General features: G+C 36.2%; 1 protein-coding gene and 1 long non-coding RNA gene across 6 annotated transcripts in view, besides 2 other annotated features; one reads left to right on the forward strand and one right to left on the reverse strand.

The window, feature by feature from the left end:
* The window catches only part of STARD13 (StAR related lipid transfer domain containing 13), a 573,658-nt gene that overhangs the window by 439,456 nt on the left and 115,171 nt on the right, over positions 1 to 19,031 (reverse strand). Inside the window, exon 1 of one of the 4 annotated variants that reach the window (XM_047430759.1) lies at positions 12,339 to 13,638. The exons of 2 other annotated variants lie outside the window; for them this stretch is intronic. In XM_047430759.1, the coding sequence (XP_047286715.1) occupies positions 12,339 to 12,368 (30 nt within the window). In that variant the 5' untranslated portion in view covers positions 12,369 to 13,638. Of the gene's footprint in view, positions 1 to 2; positions 12,064 to 12,338; positions 13,639 to 19,031 lie in introns of those variants that run through there. One more of the 4 variants, XM_024449429.2, reaches the window with a different exon arrangement.
* Positions 215 to 314: an enhancer, noted in NCBI's record as "active region_7580". NCBI's record gives its function as "activates an Ori minimal core promoter by ATAC-STARR-seq in GM12878 lymphoblastoid cells {active_cell/tissue: GM12878}" and the evidence as "EXISTENCE:reporter gene assay evidence [ECO:0000049][PMID:35858748]".
* Positions 415 to 524: an enhancer, noted in NCBI's record as "active region_7581". NCBI's record gives its function as "activates an Ori minimal core promoter by ATAC-STARR-seq in GM12878 lymphoblastoid cells {active_cell/tissue: GM12878}" and the evidence as "EXISTENCE:reporter gene assay evidence [ECO:0000049][PMID:35858748]".
* LOC102723406 (uncharacterized) overlaps positions 12,141 to 19,031 on the forward strand; it is a 57,046-nt gene continuing 50,155 nt past the window's right edge. Inside the window, exon 1 of one of the 2 annotated variants that reach the window (XR_007063750.1) lies at positions 12,141 to 12,225. This is a non-coding gene — a long non-coding RNA (uncharacterized LOC102723406). The remainder of the gene's footprint in view (positions 12,226 to 19,031) is intronic. The other variant, XR_001749811.2, reaches the window with a different exon arrangement.

Consider the following 19,031-nt stretch of genomic DNA (forward strand, 5'->3'; position numbering starts at 1 on the left):
ACCAGCAACCAGGGCCCGCTGGCGCCGCCCCGGGTTTCCGCTCCGGGGCTCGTCGGTCGCCGTTCGGTTCCGGTTCTGGCCCCGCCCTCACGCGGGAACCCTCCAGAAGTCTTAATATCCGGGACCAGAGGCTGGTTGCAGCGCACATTTCCGGCAACGAGCGCAAAGGAAGGGATCCGGTGACGCCTCTTCCCGTCTCCCCAGCGGCCCAGGCTCTGGCTCTCGGTGCGGCAGCGCCATCTGGTGCCGAGTCTCCCGCCACCCGCGGAGGTGGCACGCGCCCTTCTCTCGGAACCTTCCAGAGAAACCGTGGCCCCTGCTTTCCTTTCTCCCGCCCTGGACGGGGAGGGACCCGAGTCTCCGCCCCGCCGAGTTCCCGCGCGGGAGGGACTTTGTGGCGACTCTGAAGCGGAAGCTGCCTGTAGGAGGAGCTTTACAAACCCAAAATGGAGCGGAAACTGTTCTTTCTCTAGTTTTAAGTCCAGAAGAAACGGCGTCCTTTTATTTTTTGCTTCCTTATGCGTTGTTGCTGGGTCATTCTCAGTCTTCCCCGTATCAGTTCTTTAATCTTTGAGGACTGGGACCCTGTATTAATTGCCTGGTAGGAAGATGACACGAGCTTTGTGGCTTACATTGGCCTCTGCTGTAAAAGCTTTTGTTTCCTTTGGCCTATTAAAGCGCTGTTGTAAAAGCCTGCTGTGTATGTTAGGAACCCATCGAGAAGCAGAATGTAGTAATTTGCTTTAAAATAGGCCATGGAAGTTTCAGAAAGGTAGCCTCAGAAATGCTCAATGTAGATTCGTTTGCATGTCACGTTTCTTTTAGATAATCAGAGAAAGGAAAAGTAATTTCCCCAAAGTTAGTAAAATCAACACATTTTCCTTTAATAATGTTCTTTTTTTCCTGTAATCTTGGAGTACTAACAGAGTTGTTCTAAATGTTTTATTGGAATGGTGCTGTGGATATCAAAATATATAATGAAACAAATTTCCTTTAGAGTTTAGATAGCACATGTTAACTTGACTCTTTGATTGTATTTCTCCTATAGTAATGCTTCTCAAACTGGAGCATGCATCCAGATTCTCTAGAAGGCTTGTTAAAACAGATTGCTGGGCCTCAACACCAGAGGTTATAACTGGGAGGGAAGGTCTGAGGATACAGCTGGATTAGTGTAGCTCTAGTAAAATCTCAGGTGATTCTGATGCTGTTGGTACTAGGACCACACCTGGAATAATTTAGAGTTCAGGATTGCTTTGTCAATAATGCTTTTTGCTGTTGCAGGACAGACGGTACTAAAATATACTGGTGATACTAAGCCTGCACAAGTTAGTAGTCCTTTTGACTCCGTGGATGGGAAGTAGTAAACTAAACCCTAGAACCAGTAGAGAGCTACATAAATGTTCACAGATTAAAGCAACCAGTTCATAGAAATGTATTCTGTATATGATCATGTGATAGAGGGTGCTGTAATACCAAGTATACTAAATATTTCAGTTATTATACAGTAATTGTTCTTTAGCTGTTAAATTAGAAATGACTAAAATTAAGGACAAAATAGTTTAAACAATCATACTAATTTTACCCTTTGGAAGATGCCAGGTTTTTTTCAGTCTTTTGCATTTCCTCAAGTTCCCTTGTTTTACGGAATTCTCTACCCCCAGCCCACTCCCATCCCTACCGTGCCATTTATAAATGTACACAGTGCTTACATTATAAAAAATGATCATCTCAGAACTTGTCTCATCTTTTCAGCAGGACTTTTCTCAATTCTGTCAAATTCTGACTGTGCCACTGCCTTTATTGACACAGTAATTAAATCACGCAGTGATTAAAGTGTGCTGCACACTGTAACTTTTGTGCTTGCTACAAATAGAAATACAGATATTGTTAGATAAGTTTATGTTTATGATAATCAGTTCCTAAAATGTAGAAAGCAGTCGGTTTTCTGGTCTCAGTTTTATTTAAATCACTGCTATTTTGTTTACTGGATGTAAGCTTCCCCCTCTCTGCTCTAGCCTGAATGGGCCTTCGTGAAAAGAAGAAAAAAAAGATTGAGAACAACTGTCTTAAAACCATGGTATTTCCCTAATAGGCTAGTACCATGTATTTGGATAATTACTGATGAATCATTTAAATCAGGGAAAGGTGCATGGTTTTGTTTTTTTGTTGTTTTTTCTCTTTTTTTTTTTTTTTTTTTTTGAGATGGAGGCTTGCTCTGTCGCCCAGGCTGGAGTGCAGTGGCCAGATTTCAGCTCACTGCAATCTCTGCCTCCCGGGTTCAAGCGATTCTCCTGCCTCAACCTCCTGAGTAGCTGGGACTACAGGCGTGTGCCACCACACCTGGCTAATTTTTTTGTTTTATTTATTTATTTATTTATTTGAGACGGGGTTTTGCTCTTGTTGCCCAGGCTGGGGTGCAATGGTGCGATCTCAGCTCATCACAACCTCTGCTCCCAGGTTCAAGTGAGTCTTCTGCCTCAGCCTTCCTGAGTAGCTGGGATTACAGGCATGTGCCACCATGCCTGGCTAAAATTTTGTATTTTCCTTAGTAGAGATCAGTTTTCTCCATGTTGGTCAGGCTGGTCTCGAATTCCTGACCTCAGGTGATCCACCCGCCTTGGCCTCTCAAAGTGCTGGGATTACAGGTGTGAGCCACCGCGCCTGGCCTAATTTTTTGTATTTTTAGTAGAGACGGGGTTTCACCGTGTTAGCCAGGATGATCTCGATCTCCTGACCTCGTGATCCGCCTGCCTCGGCTTCCCAAAGTGCTGGGATTACAGGCGTGAGCCACTGTGCCTGGCCCGAAAGGTGAATGTTCTTTGCCTTATTTTAAACTTTATTGTAATAAATTCACTAATGAAGCAGGCAGAGAAGATGTAAAGGACACTTCATTAGTAATGCTATATTTCATATACCTGCTGTATTTTGGGAGCATTATTGCTATCATTTGGTTTGTTGGATCCCTCCAAATCTCACGTTGAAATTTGATCCCCAGTGTTGGAGGTGGGGCTTAATGGGAGATGTTTTCAGACATGGGGGTGGATCCCTGACACAGGGCTTGATGCCCTCCTAGTGATAATGAGTGAGTTTTCTATTAGTTGCTGTCAGAGCTGGTTGTTAAGAGCCTGGCACCTCCCTCCTATCGATTTTCTTGCTGCTTTGTCTTGCTTCCTCGCTTACCATGTGATCTCTGCACATGCTGGTTCTCCTTCACCTTCACCCACAAGTGGAAACAGCCTGAGGCCCTCACCAGAAATAGCTGCTGGTACCATGCTTCTTGTACAGCCTACAGAACTGTGAGCCAAGTAAACCTCTTTTCTTCATAAATTACCCAGCCTCAGGTATTCCTTTATAGAAAAATAAATGGACTAAGACAGTTGTTAAATAACCTTATTTTGTTGACTAAAAGTAATTAGTATTTTATGACATTTATTTATTATGGCTGTTAACATTACAATTTATCCTGGCTAATTTCATCAGTAAACACTCTTATGAAATGATACTGTAGTTTACTTTCAACCAAGAATTGGTTGACTTTGATACAGTAATTAGATTAGGATTCCCACGTCAGATTTTCTTTCAAAAATAATTCCTATTATTATGTGGAAGCCTCCTTTTCTGATTTTTTTCTCTTATTTTCTAAGAACATAATATGTAAATGGATGTATAATGAATATTTGTGGCAAAAAGCATTTGTCTAAGAAGAATTAAGTTGATTCAGCTGTTAAAGGGGTCTTAGTTGTTAGAGCTTTTTGGCGGTTTATTTGCTATAATCAATAGACTTATTAATACTTTTAATTTTAGCCTAATAGTACTAATAGTCACATTTTGACTAACTATTGGGCCAGTTTTTCTTTGTCATTCATTGGTAGTTGAGTCTCTGTAGCCTTTATACTGCCCTATTTTTGGTTTGCCACATTTTAAATCTCAAACTGCCTATAATTTATACTGTTAGTCTTTGGAAATAAGTTTGAATTGACTATTCTGCTAAACTCATTTTAATGACCATGCTCCCTTGTGATGAGCTAAATTTATTTATTATTGTGTTGTCGTATTAATTTTTTTTTTTTTGAGACAGTCTCACTCTGTCGCCCAGGCTGCAGTGCGGTGGCTCAGTCTCCACTTACTGCAACCTCCACCTCCCGGGCTCAAGTGATTCTCCTGCCTCAGCTTCCTGAGTAGCTGGGATTACAGGCAAGATTAATGTTTTTTATTTGTAATCAATTTAAGCCTAATACATGTTCTAATAATTTTTGTATTTCATATATGGATAAATTATAATAATTCTTTTAAAGTGAAAGTATTGATGAGAGATACTTTTTTTTGGAATAGCTCATTTTAAGCCCCTGATACTTGATATGGATAAAATATTTTCAGTGTTTAATAAAATGTTGAAATATATTTAACTTTACTAATTTGAGCCCTGCCAATTATAATACTTTAGAAAAAGTGAAAATATAATAGTACATTTATAAGGCTTTTAAGTATTCACAAAATAGTCATTTCCCAGTAGATGTTTTTCAGCTCTTATGATACAGTGTTTTCTTTTTCTTTTGGCCATGTATTGATCAGAATTAGTCATTAACTTTACTAACAACTGGATTTAGTTTGTCAGCCTTGATGGTTTGGTTACACAGATGTAGCTATTGTGTCAACCCCACTGTTTTAAATATGTTCCTATGCCAGGTGAAATTTGATCCCTTTAAGCAAATTTCTGTTAAACACTTTGTGTCAGTTTCAGTAACGTTTCCCCAATGAACATTCCTACTGTACAAAATTTTACATATGTGTATTTACATATTTATACTTTTTTCACAAATGTGGGAATTTAGGATACTATGTTTGTAAAAATTGGGCAATTTTTCTTGAAGATAATTTTTAAAATTACAGCAAAACATAGGGCCCTGAGAAGAAGAGGTAAAATATATGGAAGAGCAAGTATGTATAGATAATTTTGTAACGTAACCTTGAGAGAAATATAGAAAACTGAGACAACATAAGCCAAAGGAAAGGAATTGGGATGTAAAACCTTTAGGGTAGAGCAGTGCTCTGCTGTGGTCATTTATGCCTTGGCATTAAGTTCTTTTGAATATAAAACAATGCATTTAGAAGGATTTTAAGACTATATCACAGTGCACTGGCATTTTCTTCTTCAATTTTCCAGGGCTAAATAAGGTAATTGAATAATAAAACTTAAAAGCATTTTTCATTTCATGAAGATCCAAGAAAAAATATTTCATAACAATTTTTATTTACAAGAAGGAAAAACATATTCATAAGAATCTTAGATGATTAGTAGGTTAATGAAATAAAAAGTTTGTTAGGAAGAAGGAATACTAGTTATTGAACAATGCCAATTTTTTCTATTTAAAAATATTTAAAATGCCATTAGTTGATTTATTTAATGAGCCATCAGCCTTTATTTTAGATTCACTATAACTCTGATCTCCTAAACCTGCTTTTCCTATCAGGTCTTAAATATTTCATCCCTGCTTTCTTTTACAATATAGTTTTTGGGAATGTAACTATCATGTTGATAAGTAATGCTAGGTGAAGGAAAAAGTTAAAACAACTCCAATGCTAGGCAGTGATATACCATAGAAAAATAAATGAGCCAAAGATAGGGGAAGTGATTTTTTTTGGAGGAAGAAAACAGAAATGAGAACAAGAGGACATGGATGACTGCTGAAAAACTGACCAAGTTCCTCTTCAGTCTTCTAACAGAATTTGGAAGATGTTCTTAGCATGCAACTGTTGGTTGAAAAAAACCCAAATGTACAAGGGCCATCAGTTCTTAAAAGTGGAATAGTGCATAGAAAGCTTATTGACACAACATAGCAGTTTGATGAAATGGACTGAAGCCATTTCTGTGGAGTGGACTCGTGGAAAATGTGATGCCTGATTCATAAAATTGTACACAGTTGAATGTTGCTATATAGGTAAGGTTTTGCAAACTCAGGACTCTCAGGAAACATCAAAGGTATATAGTTGGCACACTTAATTTTAGATATGTGTGATACGTTTGTGATTTTTTTTAAAAAAATATTTCCAGGAATGCTTAAGAAGATTATACCACCTCATGCTATAAAATAAAACTAACTTGGAGAATTCAACAATGTTTGCTGTTTTAATATGCATCTTACAAAGATAATTATAAACACTGAGAGTATTTACTGCAATGCCCTGAATATAGTATGCCTAAAGAATTTTCTGTATAAAAATAATTGTATTTATTTTAGTTAAAAATTGAGTAAAATATACATGCATCAAAATAATTTCTAGGTAGACCAAAGTGATATATGTAAAGAAAGACAAAATCAAAAATCAGGAAATTGCTGGTGAATATCTAATCTCGGGATAGAAAAATATTTTTTTAAATCACAAAAGCAATCAGTAATCAAAAGAAAAGATGACTGATAATTATTACCATATAAATATTTTTAAACTCATGTGTTAACAATTTATAGAACAAATAAGTTCGAGAAAATGTTTGTCCTTAGCATGTCAGTTAATTAAAATAAAACACAGAAACTTCATACAGTTCAGCAAAGGACATCTTGATTTGTGCTTTGGAGAATCTATTGAGTTTTTTTGGTTACTGAGTAATAGTTTAGTTAGATGTGTTGCTATAGCTATACATTCTTCCATCTTATGTTTTCAAAATATTAAGTGTCCTCATTTATTTTTTGTGTAATTGAGAATAAACTGAAATCAAGTAATACACATTCTCTCATAAAAATAAATATACTCGGTCATTGAATTGTAAAGTGTGGATCCCAGGATGATATCATCATCACCTGGAAACTTGTTAGAAATACACATTCTTGTCCCCTGACCAAAATCTATTGAATGAGAAACTCTGAGGGTGAAGCCCAGCATTTTAAAATCTAAAAATCCATGTTTTAACCCATTTGGGGATACTAAATAAACTGCTGTAGTCCTTCAATAAGCCCATCACACATTTTCACCATGTCATCTATAGGCACTTTTTCTACGGTGTTAACATCATCTTCATCATCACTATTATCATAATCACCTTGATTAAGAACCATTTTGGCTATTTCCCCATGGATCAATGAATGAATAATTAGAGCCGCATTATTGCTGGTAAAAACTTACATGACATCTGTTTCTTCCATCTTACTGCCAGACTCTGAAGGTGTATTTTTTTGTATATGTATGGAGGTCAGACATTATTTTTTTTCTCATGTGACATATAGAAACCTTCAAAGTCACCACTTTGTTCATCACCATCACTGAACATAGTTATAGCCCAGAGGTTGTGCCAGGCATGCACAACTGTGTATTTGTCACTGTATTCCAAACATGGGCATTCTTCGTGCTAAACTCCTTTTGAAAACTTTCCACACTCATGCCTCTGTTCACTGTTGCTAGCATGCTGATCAAGAAACTTTTTATATTTATTCTTTATTGATCCAAGAACACCCTAGTCACATGGATGAATTAATGAAGTCACAATTAGGGTAAAATACATGACCTAAACATTTTTAATGAGAATTTCTGCTGGATGATGAGCAGAATCCTTATCAAGCAGTGCCAAAATCTTGCAGTCGTTAATCATTCAGTCTAGATTCCCTACAGCAAGCAAGAGCCACTAGTACCAAATGTTTGTGAAACCAATCAGAAAAGATATCCCTAATTCTCTATGCCTTTTTGTTAGCATAATAATTTACTGGAAAGAAATTTACTCCTTGAAAACAACAAGGATATAAGCTTTTGTCTATCATAGCAAGGTTTTCTTTATGCATGCGTGCTGCATTAGCACATCCCAGAACAGTTATTCTGTCCTTAGCATCCTTAATTCCTATTGAAGCTGTCTCACCAGCTGTAGTCAGTGTTTTTCTGGTGCAATAATGCCGAAACAGTGATGTTTCATCAGCATTACAGACCTGTCCTGGTATCAGATTTTCATCAGTGATGACCTTAGTAACCTCATCAGTGAATATCTCCCTTGCTTCATGATCAGGAAATGGTACAAATCTTCAAAACCTTAACGCTGTGCTTTTTCTTAAATTTATGCAACTAGCCTGTTGAATGTTCACAGTTCCCTTCAATTTTCAGTTCATCGTGATAGATCTTTGCAAGTTTCATGTTCAGCATACCATTAAGTGGCATGTATTCACTGTGACACTGATGGTTCCATTCTTTCAATACATATTCAAGGACTTCATATTTCACTCCATGCATTGCTTTTCTATTTTTCATTAACTTCTGTTCATCACTTTCAGCATAGAACTTCCAACAATGTATCCTTCTCTTTCTTCAGGTCATACATGGTGGTCACTCCAACACTATACTCTTCTATAAGACATTTTCCACTTATACCACCATCCAGTTTCTTCAACAGCTTGACTTTCTGTGCTATAGATAAGTATAAATGCTTCCTCTTTTCTTTACTACTGTTACTCATAAGGGTATCTGCAGATCTTTCTACATTTTCCACAATACCTTTATACCACAGAGAAGAGAATAAGCAAAACAAAACAACATAATGAGTAAGGCATGTAGGTCTTGGCCTCATGTAGGGCATCACAGGCAACCCGCCATTGGTGTGTCTTGCCTGACATGTGCCATTTTATTACCCTTTGTGGATGTGCCTGCATGACGAAGTCTGGGGCATGTGTGGAAAAGATACTTCACAGCTGAAGGGGGCTGGGAGGGTCTCTTTGGAGACATTAAGTAAACTGTGTGTTGTGTATCTGCATTTTGACTGTGATCCATCATATGAGGTCAGGTGTGGAATTTTCAACTTGTGACTTCGTGTCAGCACTCAAAAAGTTTTGGATTTGGGGGAATTTCAGTTTTGGATTTTCAGATTAGGGATGGTTAAGATGTAATTTCATTATGAGTAAATAGATTAAATACTCCAACCAAAAGGCAGAGATTGTCAGGCTGGATTTTGAAAAGCAAGATCCAACTATCTTCTGTCTACAAGAGACAAGCTTTTGCTTTTCCCTTTTTTTTTTTTTTTTTTTTTTTTTTTTTTTTTTTTTTTTTTTTTTTGAGTTGGAGTCTCACTCTGTCAGCCAGGCTGGAGTACAGTGTTGGGATCTTGGCTCCAAGCAACCTCCACCTCCTGGATTCAAGTGATTCTCCTGCCTTATCCTCCTAAGTAGCTGGGATTACAGGTGCCCACCACCATACTGGCTCATTTTTGTATTATTGATAGAGGCAGGGTTTCACCATGTTGGCCAGGCTGGTCTTGAGCTCCTGACCTCAGGTGATCCACTCACCTTGGCCTCCCAAAGTGCTGGGATTATAGGCATGAGCCACCACAGGTTGCCATGAGACAGACTTTAGATTCAAAAATTTAGTCTGAAAGTTAAAAGGATGGAAAATGATATATCATACAAACAGTAACCATTAAAGACCTGCAGTGAATACACTAATATTAGACAAAATACACTTTGAGACAAAAATAAATAAAATACTTGAGACAAAGAGTACATTTCATAATGATAAGGGGGTTAATTCAACAGGAAAATAGAAAAGTTATATATATACCTCAGATTTCCCCAAGTACATGGAGCAATAAATCACAGAACTAAAGAGAGATATAGACAATAATAATTGGAGACTTCAACACCCCAATCTCGATAATTGATGAACAACTAGATACAAAATTAGCAAGGATATGTTTTGTATCACTTAACACTTACACAACACGATCAGCAGACTACTGATCCACCAACTCTATCCACCAAACAAAAGCAGAATAGACATTCCTCACAAGCACACACAGACTGTCCTCCAAAATAGACCATATTCTAGGCCATAAAACACATCTGAATAGATTTAAAAGGAATAAAATCACATAAAGTACGTTCTTTGACTGTAACAGATAAATGAGAAACCACCAACAGAAGGTAAAATCCTTTTGTGGTGATGGAAACATTCTAAGACTAGATTGTGGTGCAAGTGAGCAACTCATTTACTAAAAATAATCATTGAATTATATACTTAAACTATAAATTTTATATGTAAATTATACCTCAAAGCTGTTAAGAAATGAATGAAAGGAGAAGCACATTCACTATAGCAACAAAACTTTAAGAATACCTTTACTAAGGAATATTTGTGACCTATAGGAATAAAAAGTGATTAAGCTTTGAAAGAATTAAAAAGAGATAAATAATAGACAAACTATGTTTCCATATATCAAAAATAATACTTCCAAATGTCAGTTACCTCCAAATTATAGATTTGACACAATTTTAGTAAAAATCATAATGAAAGTTTGATTTTCTGACTTAAAATCATTCTAAAGTTTATCTGGAAGATTAAAAACACACAAAAATTCACAGAATATTTTGAAAGGAAGAGAAATGAATTACACAAGCTATGGTAGACACTGAACCATATTTTAAAGCTACACTGTACTAGCTAAAATATAATATGGATATAGGAGTAGAAGATTAAACAAAATAAGAAATAAAACATTTTATTTGTTTTTAGTATGTATTAAAAATACATTGCCAAACATTTTGAAATGGATAATTCAATAATTTTTATTGATATAAAGAGTTGCATTTGATCTAGCAGTTATACTTCTGGGAATTTTTTTAATGGAAATAATCCTGAAACTGGGTGAGGCAAATATGAATTCCAGTTTCATTCGTAAATGTACAAAATTGGAAACAACCTAAACACCTAGGTAGGAGATTAGTCAAAATAATCATAATTGTAGTTGTTTAACTTACAACTCAGAAGTAGGCATCTTATGCAGTTATTAAAGTAATTTTAAGTAGCATGTGAATATAAGAAATAATGCTTATAAATTTTATGTTAAATGACATAGGACGTAAAGGTATATAAATAGTGTGAATATAAGTATATAAGCAAAACAAAAATAACTTTTCATGAGGAGATTAATGGGAAATATACCAATATGTTAATAGTAATTTTGTATTTGATCATAGTTTGAGTAGAATTTTTAAATATTTATAATTTACAATTATAAAACTAAGCACTTTTTTTTTTTTTTTGAGATGGAGTCTCACTCTGTGGCCAGGATGGAGTGTAGTGGCGCTATCTTGGCTCACTGCAACCTTCGCCTCCAGGGTTCAAGTGATTCTCCTGCCTCAGCCTCCCGAGTAGCTGGGACTACAGGCACCCACCACCACGCCTGTCTAATTTTTGTATTTTTAGTAGAGACGGGGTTTCACCATGTTGGCCAGGATGGTCTCGATGTGTTGACCTCATAATCCACCTGCCTCAGCCTCCCAAAGTGCTGGGATTACGGGTGTGAGCCACCGTGCCTGGCTGCAAGCATTATTTTAATTAAAAATTTCCCAATAATTATATCAAAATTTTAGAATTTATAGTTTAGTTTTCAGGATTCACAGCAAATTTTTTAAAAGATTTCTATTTTTAACATATTCATTATATTATTATTAGAGTTTGGTGAATATGCTAAATGCCTCTCCCTTCCATGAGTTTATGAATTTCAATTATATCTTCTCTTCACCATTGGGTATCTGGCCTAATCAATATTAATAGATATTTAACCACATTTTAAAGCTATAATAATTAAAATAGTATAATACTTATATAGGGAGGAACATTAAATACTCAGGAGATGTAATTTTTTTAGCCTCTTAATTTGGCAGTGTATCTCAAAATGTGGTATGTATCAAAATAATCTGGCCCCAATTTCATAACTTCTAAGTGGGATGCAGCTCTGCCATGTATTTGTTGAAGGCAGTGATGGTGGCAGTGATTCTAAAAGAGAAATTCTCAATTTTGTAGCTGATTCGCATAGAGGGCTTGTGACTCCATCACCTACTGTCTGTGTGACCCTGTGCAAGTTACCTAACCTTCCATGCCTCAGACTCTTCCTCTCTAGAAGAACTGAGCATAATAATAGTGCCTTCTTCATCGGATTATTATGATAGTTACATGAATTAAGACATGGAATGTGCCAGGTACTATGTATAGTAAGTATCAAATATCTGCTATTATTATGCTAAGGCCTGTTATTACAAAGTAAAGTTACCTAATATTTATTATTTTTTACGTGTTATAAATTGTTAGGCACACTGAAGATATAAATGCATGATCTCATTTATTTTTCATATCCACTCAATATGCTGAATGTTGTCTTACCCATTTCAGAGGTTGGAAAAGTGAGGTCCAGAGAGGCTTAGCTGGCTGAGTGTGACTGAGAAGAAAAGGCTTGGGGCTGCAAACTCCACAGAGATAAAGGTGAAGTAATTTTCCAGTAAATGTTGGGGTTGGGATCAAAATTATGTGTAATTTATTTCAAAAGCCCTCCTAGTGTTTGGCACATTTTAAGCATGCAAACTTTGAAAGCATACCTTGGTTTTCCTGGGTTCATCTGAGGGCATTTTCGTTTAGTAGGTCTGGATGTAGGGCCCAGGAATCTGCATTTAACAACAAACACTCCCAGGTGGTTCTGAGGCTGGTAGTCTAAGGATCACAGTGTCAGAAACTCCGCACTAGGTCATGTTCTGAGATAACTAAGAAAGGATGTAGGAAGTAATCATAAAGGGTTTCAAAATGTGTTTAAGGTCATATGTAACTAGTTAGTATCTGAACTGAAACTAGGTGTTAGGTGCCCTCTCAATCCATTCCTCTTTTTCACATCAGAGACCTTAAGCCTGGATTTTTCTCTTAGCCTAGCATCAAATCAGCTAAGCCCATGTCTGCTATTTCTCTAACCTCTTGCTGGGCTTCAGCAAAGCTTCTGCAGGGGAGAGGGCTTGTTTATTTTTAGTCAGAGGCCAGACCAGCAGAGGAGCTAAAATGCTCCAACTGTCTGCATTAACTTTTCATGAAGTTTTTGGGAAAGAAGAGAATGGCCTTATTAGGTGTAAACCTTTTTTATCCTGAAATTATTTTGTAATTGGGAGGTTTGTTTTTATTATAAATTTCAATACCCTGGGTACATTCTTGTAAGTTCTAATGCTATTCTCTAAGCTGCTGATCATCCCAAACAGCTGTTCGTTCCTCTGTAGTCCAACCTAACCTCAGTTAGATTTTTGAGAGAATGGATGGTGATCTAATGGAAAGAGTAAACAACTTGGAGTTAGGAAATACTGGTTAAGCATTGTCCTGCTAGACACTAGTTAAGTGAACCTAGAAAAGTCCCTGATCCTCTGCAAACTTCAATTATTTCACTTAAAAAATTGAGATAATAAGGTCTTAGTATCTAACATCAGAATTATGAGAATCACATGAAATAAGTTAGGTAAATGGACTTTGCCCACTCTTCTATGATGTTCAATCTCTTGTTAGTATTAGACCCATTTTATAGTCTGACCCATTTTTATTGTCTGATGTGGTATTCCTGAGGCCCCAGGTTTGGAGATAATAATATTTCTTCTTCAGAAAAATAAATGACAGAGCCATGGCTGTGGAGCTTTCATAGACACAGGGCTCTTTAGCTAGTGAAGCAAGAACTGGCAAAGTAGGAACACACAAAAGTTAATGCTGTCATGTTTACTGTTAAAACTGGCATTTTGCACAATGTAATGGACTTTTAATACGTTAGATTTCTTATGGAAAAATTCATAAGGTAAGGTAAAATAAAATCAAGATGATGTTTAATTGTTCTTTTTTATAATAGGGTTCAGATATTCATGAAGAATGTTTTCAATGCTTATTCATTTCCTTCCCGCCTCCCTTTTCTTTTCCTTTCTCACTTTTTTAAAATTTCTTTTTAAAGAGACAGAGTCCTACTCTGTCACTCAGGCTGGAGTGCAGTGGCGTGATTCTAGGTCACTGCAGCCTCCAATTCTTGGGCTTAAGCAATCCTCCACCCAAGGCTCCTGAGTGACTGAGACCGCAGGGGCGCCACCTTTCCCAGCTAATTCTTTTTTATTTTTTGTAGAGATGGGGGTCTCACTAAGTTGCCCAGGCTGGTTTCAAACTCCTGGCCTCAAGTGACCCTCCCACCTTAGTGTCCCAAAGCATTGAGATTACAGACATAAGCCACTGCCCACTGTCTTTTCCTTACTCCTACTTTTCACATTTCTATTCCTATTCTAAAACTTACTTTTATAAAAATCATTTTAAACATTCTGGATTTATGGTGGATTACCAACTTCTCTCACATGTTTAAATTATCTTCCTAATAATGCATTAAAGACTTAGGGAGGGCCTAATTCATTTTGGTAAGGAAAGCATACAACTTTTTTTGTGTGTTTGTGTGAGACAGGGTCTCACTGTGTCTTCCAGGCTGGAGTGCAGTGGTGTGATCTTGGCTTCTCCTGGGTTCAAGCGATCCTCCCACCTCAGCCTCCCAAGTAGCTGGGACCACAAGCACACACCATCATGCCTGGCTAATTTTTGTATTTTTTGTAGAGATGAGGTTTAGTCAAGCATGCAACTTTTTACCTGAAGCAGCCATTTGGTGATTCACCAGTTTGAAAAAAGCAGATTCATCAAACAGTACCTAGCTGGATGATATCATTCCACCTCTCATTCAATCTGTAGAGCACCAATGAGTGTACTAAATTCACAAGAGATAAGAAGTCTTCTGTAAAGAAATCCTTACTGTTGCTCCTTTAACCCCTTAGATTGAAAGAATATTGTTTCCCCCCTCCACTTCCTCTCCTTCTAGTCCCTCTTCCTTCTCTCCCTCCTTCTCTTCTTTAAAGTTAGGATAATGTGTTGCTTTTGTTTCAGAAGCTTACATACATTGAACTTGATTTTTTAAATTCAGACTTCACCCGGGCGATGTAATGACTTGTGATGATTTCCAAGAAAGTATTATTTCCAAGTAGCATAATACTCTTGTATAAATCTGGGAAAAAAATCTCCTCTTGAATTTTCATGTTATTCTACAAATACGTTTTTAAAAATCTTGCAGCCATTAGTTTTCAAATGATCTTATTCAGGGAAATTATTGCTCACTTTCTTGAAATTTATGAAGAATTTACATTCTTCATAAGATTTAGTATTTTATTATTTGCCGTATTTCCTGCAGGACAGTAATTGTATCTTATTTCTCTTTATATTTCTAGTACTATCACTGTATGTGTTACCTAGAAGGTGCTCTGTAAATGATTTTTTAACTGTTTTTATTGCTTACTGAAAACTCAGAATGGGAAACTTTGGAAAGGGTGAGACCTTTGTAGAAATGATTTAATCCTTTCTCTTCCACTCCCACCACTCATTTAGTAAGCCAAGGTATAAGTCCTTGCTAAGAGAAAGGAGTTTAGATAAACCGTTGCTAAGAGGCAGGAAGGTATACCTATAGAAGGTTTCCTCAGAGGCCATAGAGAATTTAGGGAGAACGAGATGTTGACATGACCCTGGTCCCTAACTTGAAATTATAGCTGTGAGAGTTTCCTTTTCTGTGCATCGGAACATTCTCAAGGGCAATGACAGAGAAGCACAAGGGAGTAAGCTGCCATATCATTTAAACCAATAAACAAACTATTTCATGAAAATAAAAACCATTTAAGATTGTAAAAAGCCAAATGTAGTAAAAAGTCCTTTTGTAATAAAGGTGGAAATACAATCTCATGTATAGAACAGAAACAAAGTAATACTTTAAGAGGAAAAAAATAGTTTCCAAATTCTCCCAAGGTTTTTTTCACTCATAATCTTTCTTTCCATCACTTGCTTGTTCTGTGACTGTGAGCAAGGTACCTGCAAGGTACATACCTCTCTATGCCTCAGTTTCCTTATCTATAAATTGGGGATGATAATAGTGATATCTGCCTCACAGGTTGTTAAGGTTAAATAAGTCAATATTTTAAAAACAAAAAAGTACCTGGAAAGTACTAGGGACAATAAATGCTTGTTAAATAAAATTTAAAAATAATATATTTACTAAAGCACATTTATATACTTTCTTTTAAAATATGGCCCTGTTGGTAAGGTGTTTTTCCCAGCTTGCTTTGAACTATTTGTATTTATTTTTTGAAATTAAAAAAATACCTGCCTATCTGTACGGTAGAGAGAAAGAAGGGAAAGAAAGAAGGATACAGAAAAAATGAAGGAAAGAAGTGAAAGAAATAGAAAGGAATTACTAAGTTTTCTTTAGGAAAAGGGGCAAAAACTTTGACACTGCTCAGAAGCTAATGTTTCACTGATTCTTCTCACTTTCTACTTTCTGTTATGCTATCCTAGGGCCTGAAAATGGTTATAAATACAATAAGAAGTCACTCCCATATAATTCTAAATGTTTATTCTGACAAATATAATAAAATGATTATAGCAGTACTCTGTCTGCTAATATAAGGCTACTGCTATTGTCATGCACAGAATTCTCCCAATATTAGAGTTTTATTTTTTGTTATCAGTAATCCTCAGGTTCAGTGTCATCCCTTTCTAACCAAGTTACTCATCTGGAAATTAGTACATATCCTGAGAATTGAAGACAATACAGTGTTAAAAGTAAGAATAGTTGACTTTTCAATTTCATGTTTTTAGGCATATGATAGGCAGGTTTATATTATAATTTTTAACTAATCTGTCATTTGAATTCTCTATTTTCCCCCAAAAAATCTTTTCAAATGATTAGCAAAGACTGTTCGGTTTCTTCCTTTGCCCTGTCTCAAAAAATTAGAGGAAAGGTTTGGAAAATGCTTTTGAAGACTAATACTTTTATGTAACTATTTTCTAAACTACATTAACCTGCTACATTTATTTATAATGAGTTTTTAATAATGTTATGTTTTGTTTTCCCAAAAGTATCACCTATTTTATTCAACTAAAAGTTCTATTTATATGTAATACATAAAACTCAGATATACCTTAGACTTGAAAGAATTGGAATAAAGTTGGAGAATAAAGAAATTAAGGGACCTTCAAACTTTATATAGTTGGTGTTAAATATTGATGTCTTTCCAAAATTCATATATAGAAGCCCTAACTCCCAATGTGATGATATTAGGACTTGGGGTCTTTGGGAGGCAATGAGGTTTAGATGAGGTTGTGAGGGTACATCTCCCATGATGAGATTAGTGTCCTTATAAGAAAAGGAAGAGGCCAGGCTCAGTGGCTCACACCTGTACTCCTAGCATTTTGGGAGGCCGAGGCGGGCAGATCACAAGGTCAGGAGTTCAAGACCAGCCTGGCCTGAACATAGTGAAACCCCATCTCTACTAAAAATACAAAACATTAGCCAGGTGTGGTGGCATGCGCCTGTAGTCCCAGCTACTTGGGAGGTGGAGGCAAGAGAATCTGTTGAACCCGGGAGGTGGACGTTGCAGTGAGCCAAGATCACGCCACTGCACTCCAGCCTGGGCGACAGAGTGAGACTCCATCTCAAAAAAAGAAAAGAGACACTAGAGCTTCTTCTCTGCCATGTGAAGATACAGCAAGAAGTAGTCAGCAAGGCAGGAAGAGAGCCCTCAACAAGAACTAAATGTGCTAGCACCTTGATCTTGGACTTCCCAGCCTCTGGAACTATGAAATATATGCCTGTTATTTAAGCCATCTAGTCTGTGGTATTTTGTAGTATAGCAACTGTGCTAAGACATTCAGATTTTCAGGTTCTGAGAGCTTAATATGAAATAAAAAACTGTTGCTGACATGGTAGGTAATATTTTAAGGATGGTTTGTATTTTTTCCCTATGGCTGTCCACATAGCTACCCCACACTATTGTCTTATACTTACAAGCAGGACATTAAATATTAGTGCAACATTAGTTCTTACCTTTAAATGATTGTTTTTCTCTAGTGGAACTTCAAATTGGTCTGAAAACTTAAATACATAGGTTGTAAGTTTAAACTTTTTAAAAAGTTAAACTGTCCTTATATGGACTGCTGGAAAGCATAATATCCTAAGAAAACGAAGTAAATTATTTTAAAGGGAAAAGGATTAGTCTTCAAAATGGGAAAAACTTGAGTTCATTTTTTCCCCTTTTCAACAGAATCTAGGATGGCAAAATGACATAGGAAATGCCACCTCAAAATCTAGACAGTATACATAATCAGTCTTACATCCCGTGGGTCACAATAAAGGAGCTGTTTCAGCATCGTAAACATTGTTGCAAAATGAATTTGAATGGGTTTTGGCAGCAACAGAGCAGAGAAAATAACCACCTTTCAGAATACATAACTTAAAAATTCACTTGTAAGCCCACAAGCTATCCACCATTTTTACATTCTTAAAACATCTCATTGCCCATCTTTAATTTAAAAATATTTCAAAATCAGTAATATTTTCAGGTAAGTTTCAGGTATTTGTTGTTATGCTTTGGTTAAACTGAAAGGATTTGCAGGCATACAAAATCAGAGCCCTTCAAATAATGCCTCACATAATTAAATGCAATCTTGTGTTTGGTTTGAGTTATTTCCATCTCTCTTTATTCTGCAATCTGTTGACAATAGCCAGCCAACTTACATTCTTTGGACTGATGATGGCATATTTTTTAAATCCCTTCAGTGTTGGCATTACTAAGCTTTATAAAGGTGTTATATCTCTCAGAGGCCACTGTTGCCAGCATTGCAGTAAAAATGTGTAAGAATCTTGTCTATGTTACTTCTTTAACCTTTTCATTTCTTTTAGTTTTGTATAAAAATTCATAAGCTTGTAAAAGTATTAATCCAGATAACTTGGAATGATTTTTCTTTTTCATTCTGGATTTCTAACAGATAGATGTTAGCCTTGCATGAAGAGGAAATCCAGAACATTGTTGATTTTGGTTAAAAAAAAAGAAAACACAAGTCTATAGGATTTATTCTAGGGCTTAAAATTTTTGCAAAAAACATGGAGTTTTTATGGTCACACTAATAAAAATTATTTGCTTGAATTTTTATTTTCATCCTGCAACTATTTACTTCCAAATTGAAGATGTTTTTCCCTGATAGACTCTGTGATCCTCTGTGATCACTTTTAGAAATAGTCTATCTTCTTACTTTCTAATTGTGTTACTTAGAAATGTTTCATTTCCTCTATTGCATTTCTTGTCTTTTTAAAAAATATCTGTGTGAGTGTCTTTAGATATGTGTTACAAATTGGATTTTAAAGATCTGTGCCAGTGTACCTGCCTGAAATTCTTTACTGCCTCTGCCAGTGTATCAAGTTTAAT

Source organism: Homo sapiens, chromosome 13, assembly GCF_000001405.40.
Source record: "Homo sapiens chromosome 13, GRCh38.p14 Primary Assembly".
Taxonomy (NCBI): Eukaryota; Metazoa; Chordata; class Mammalia; order Primates; family Hominidae; genus Homo; species Homo sapiens.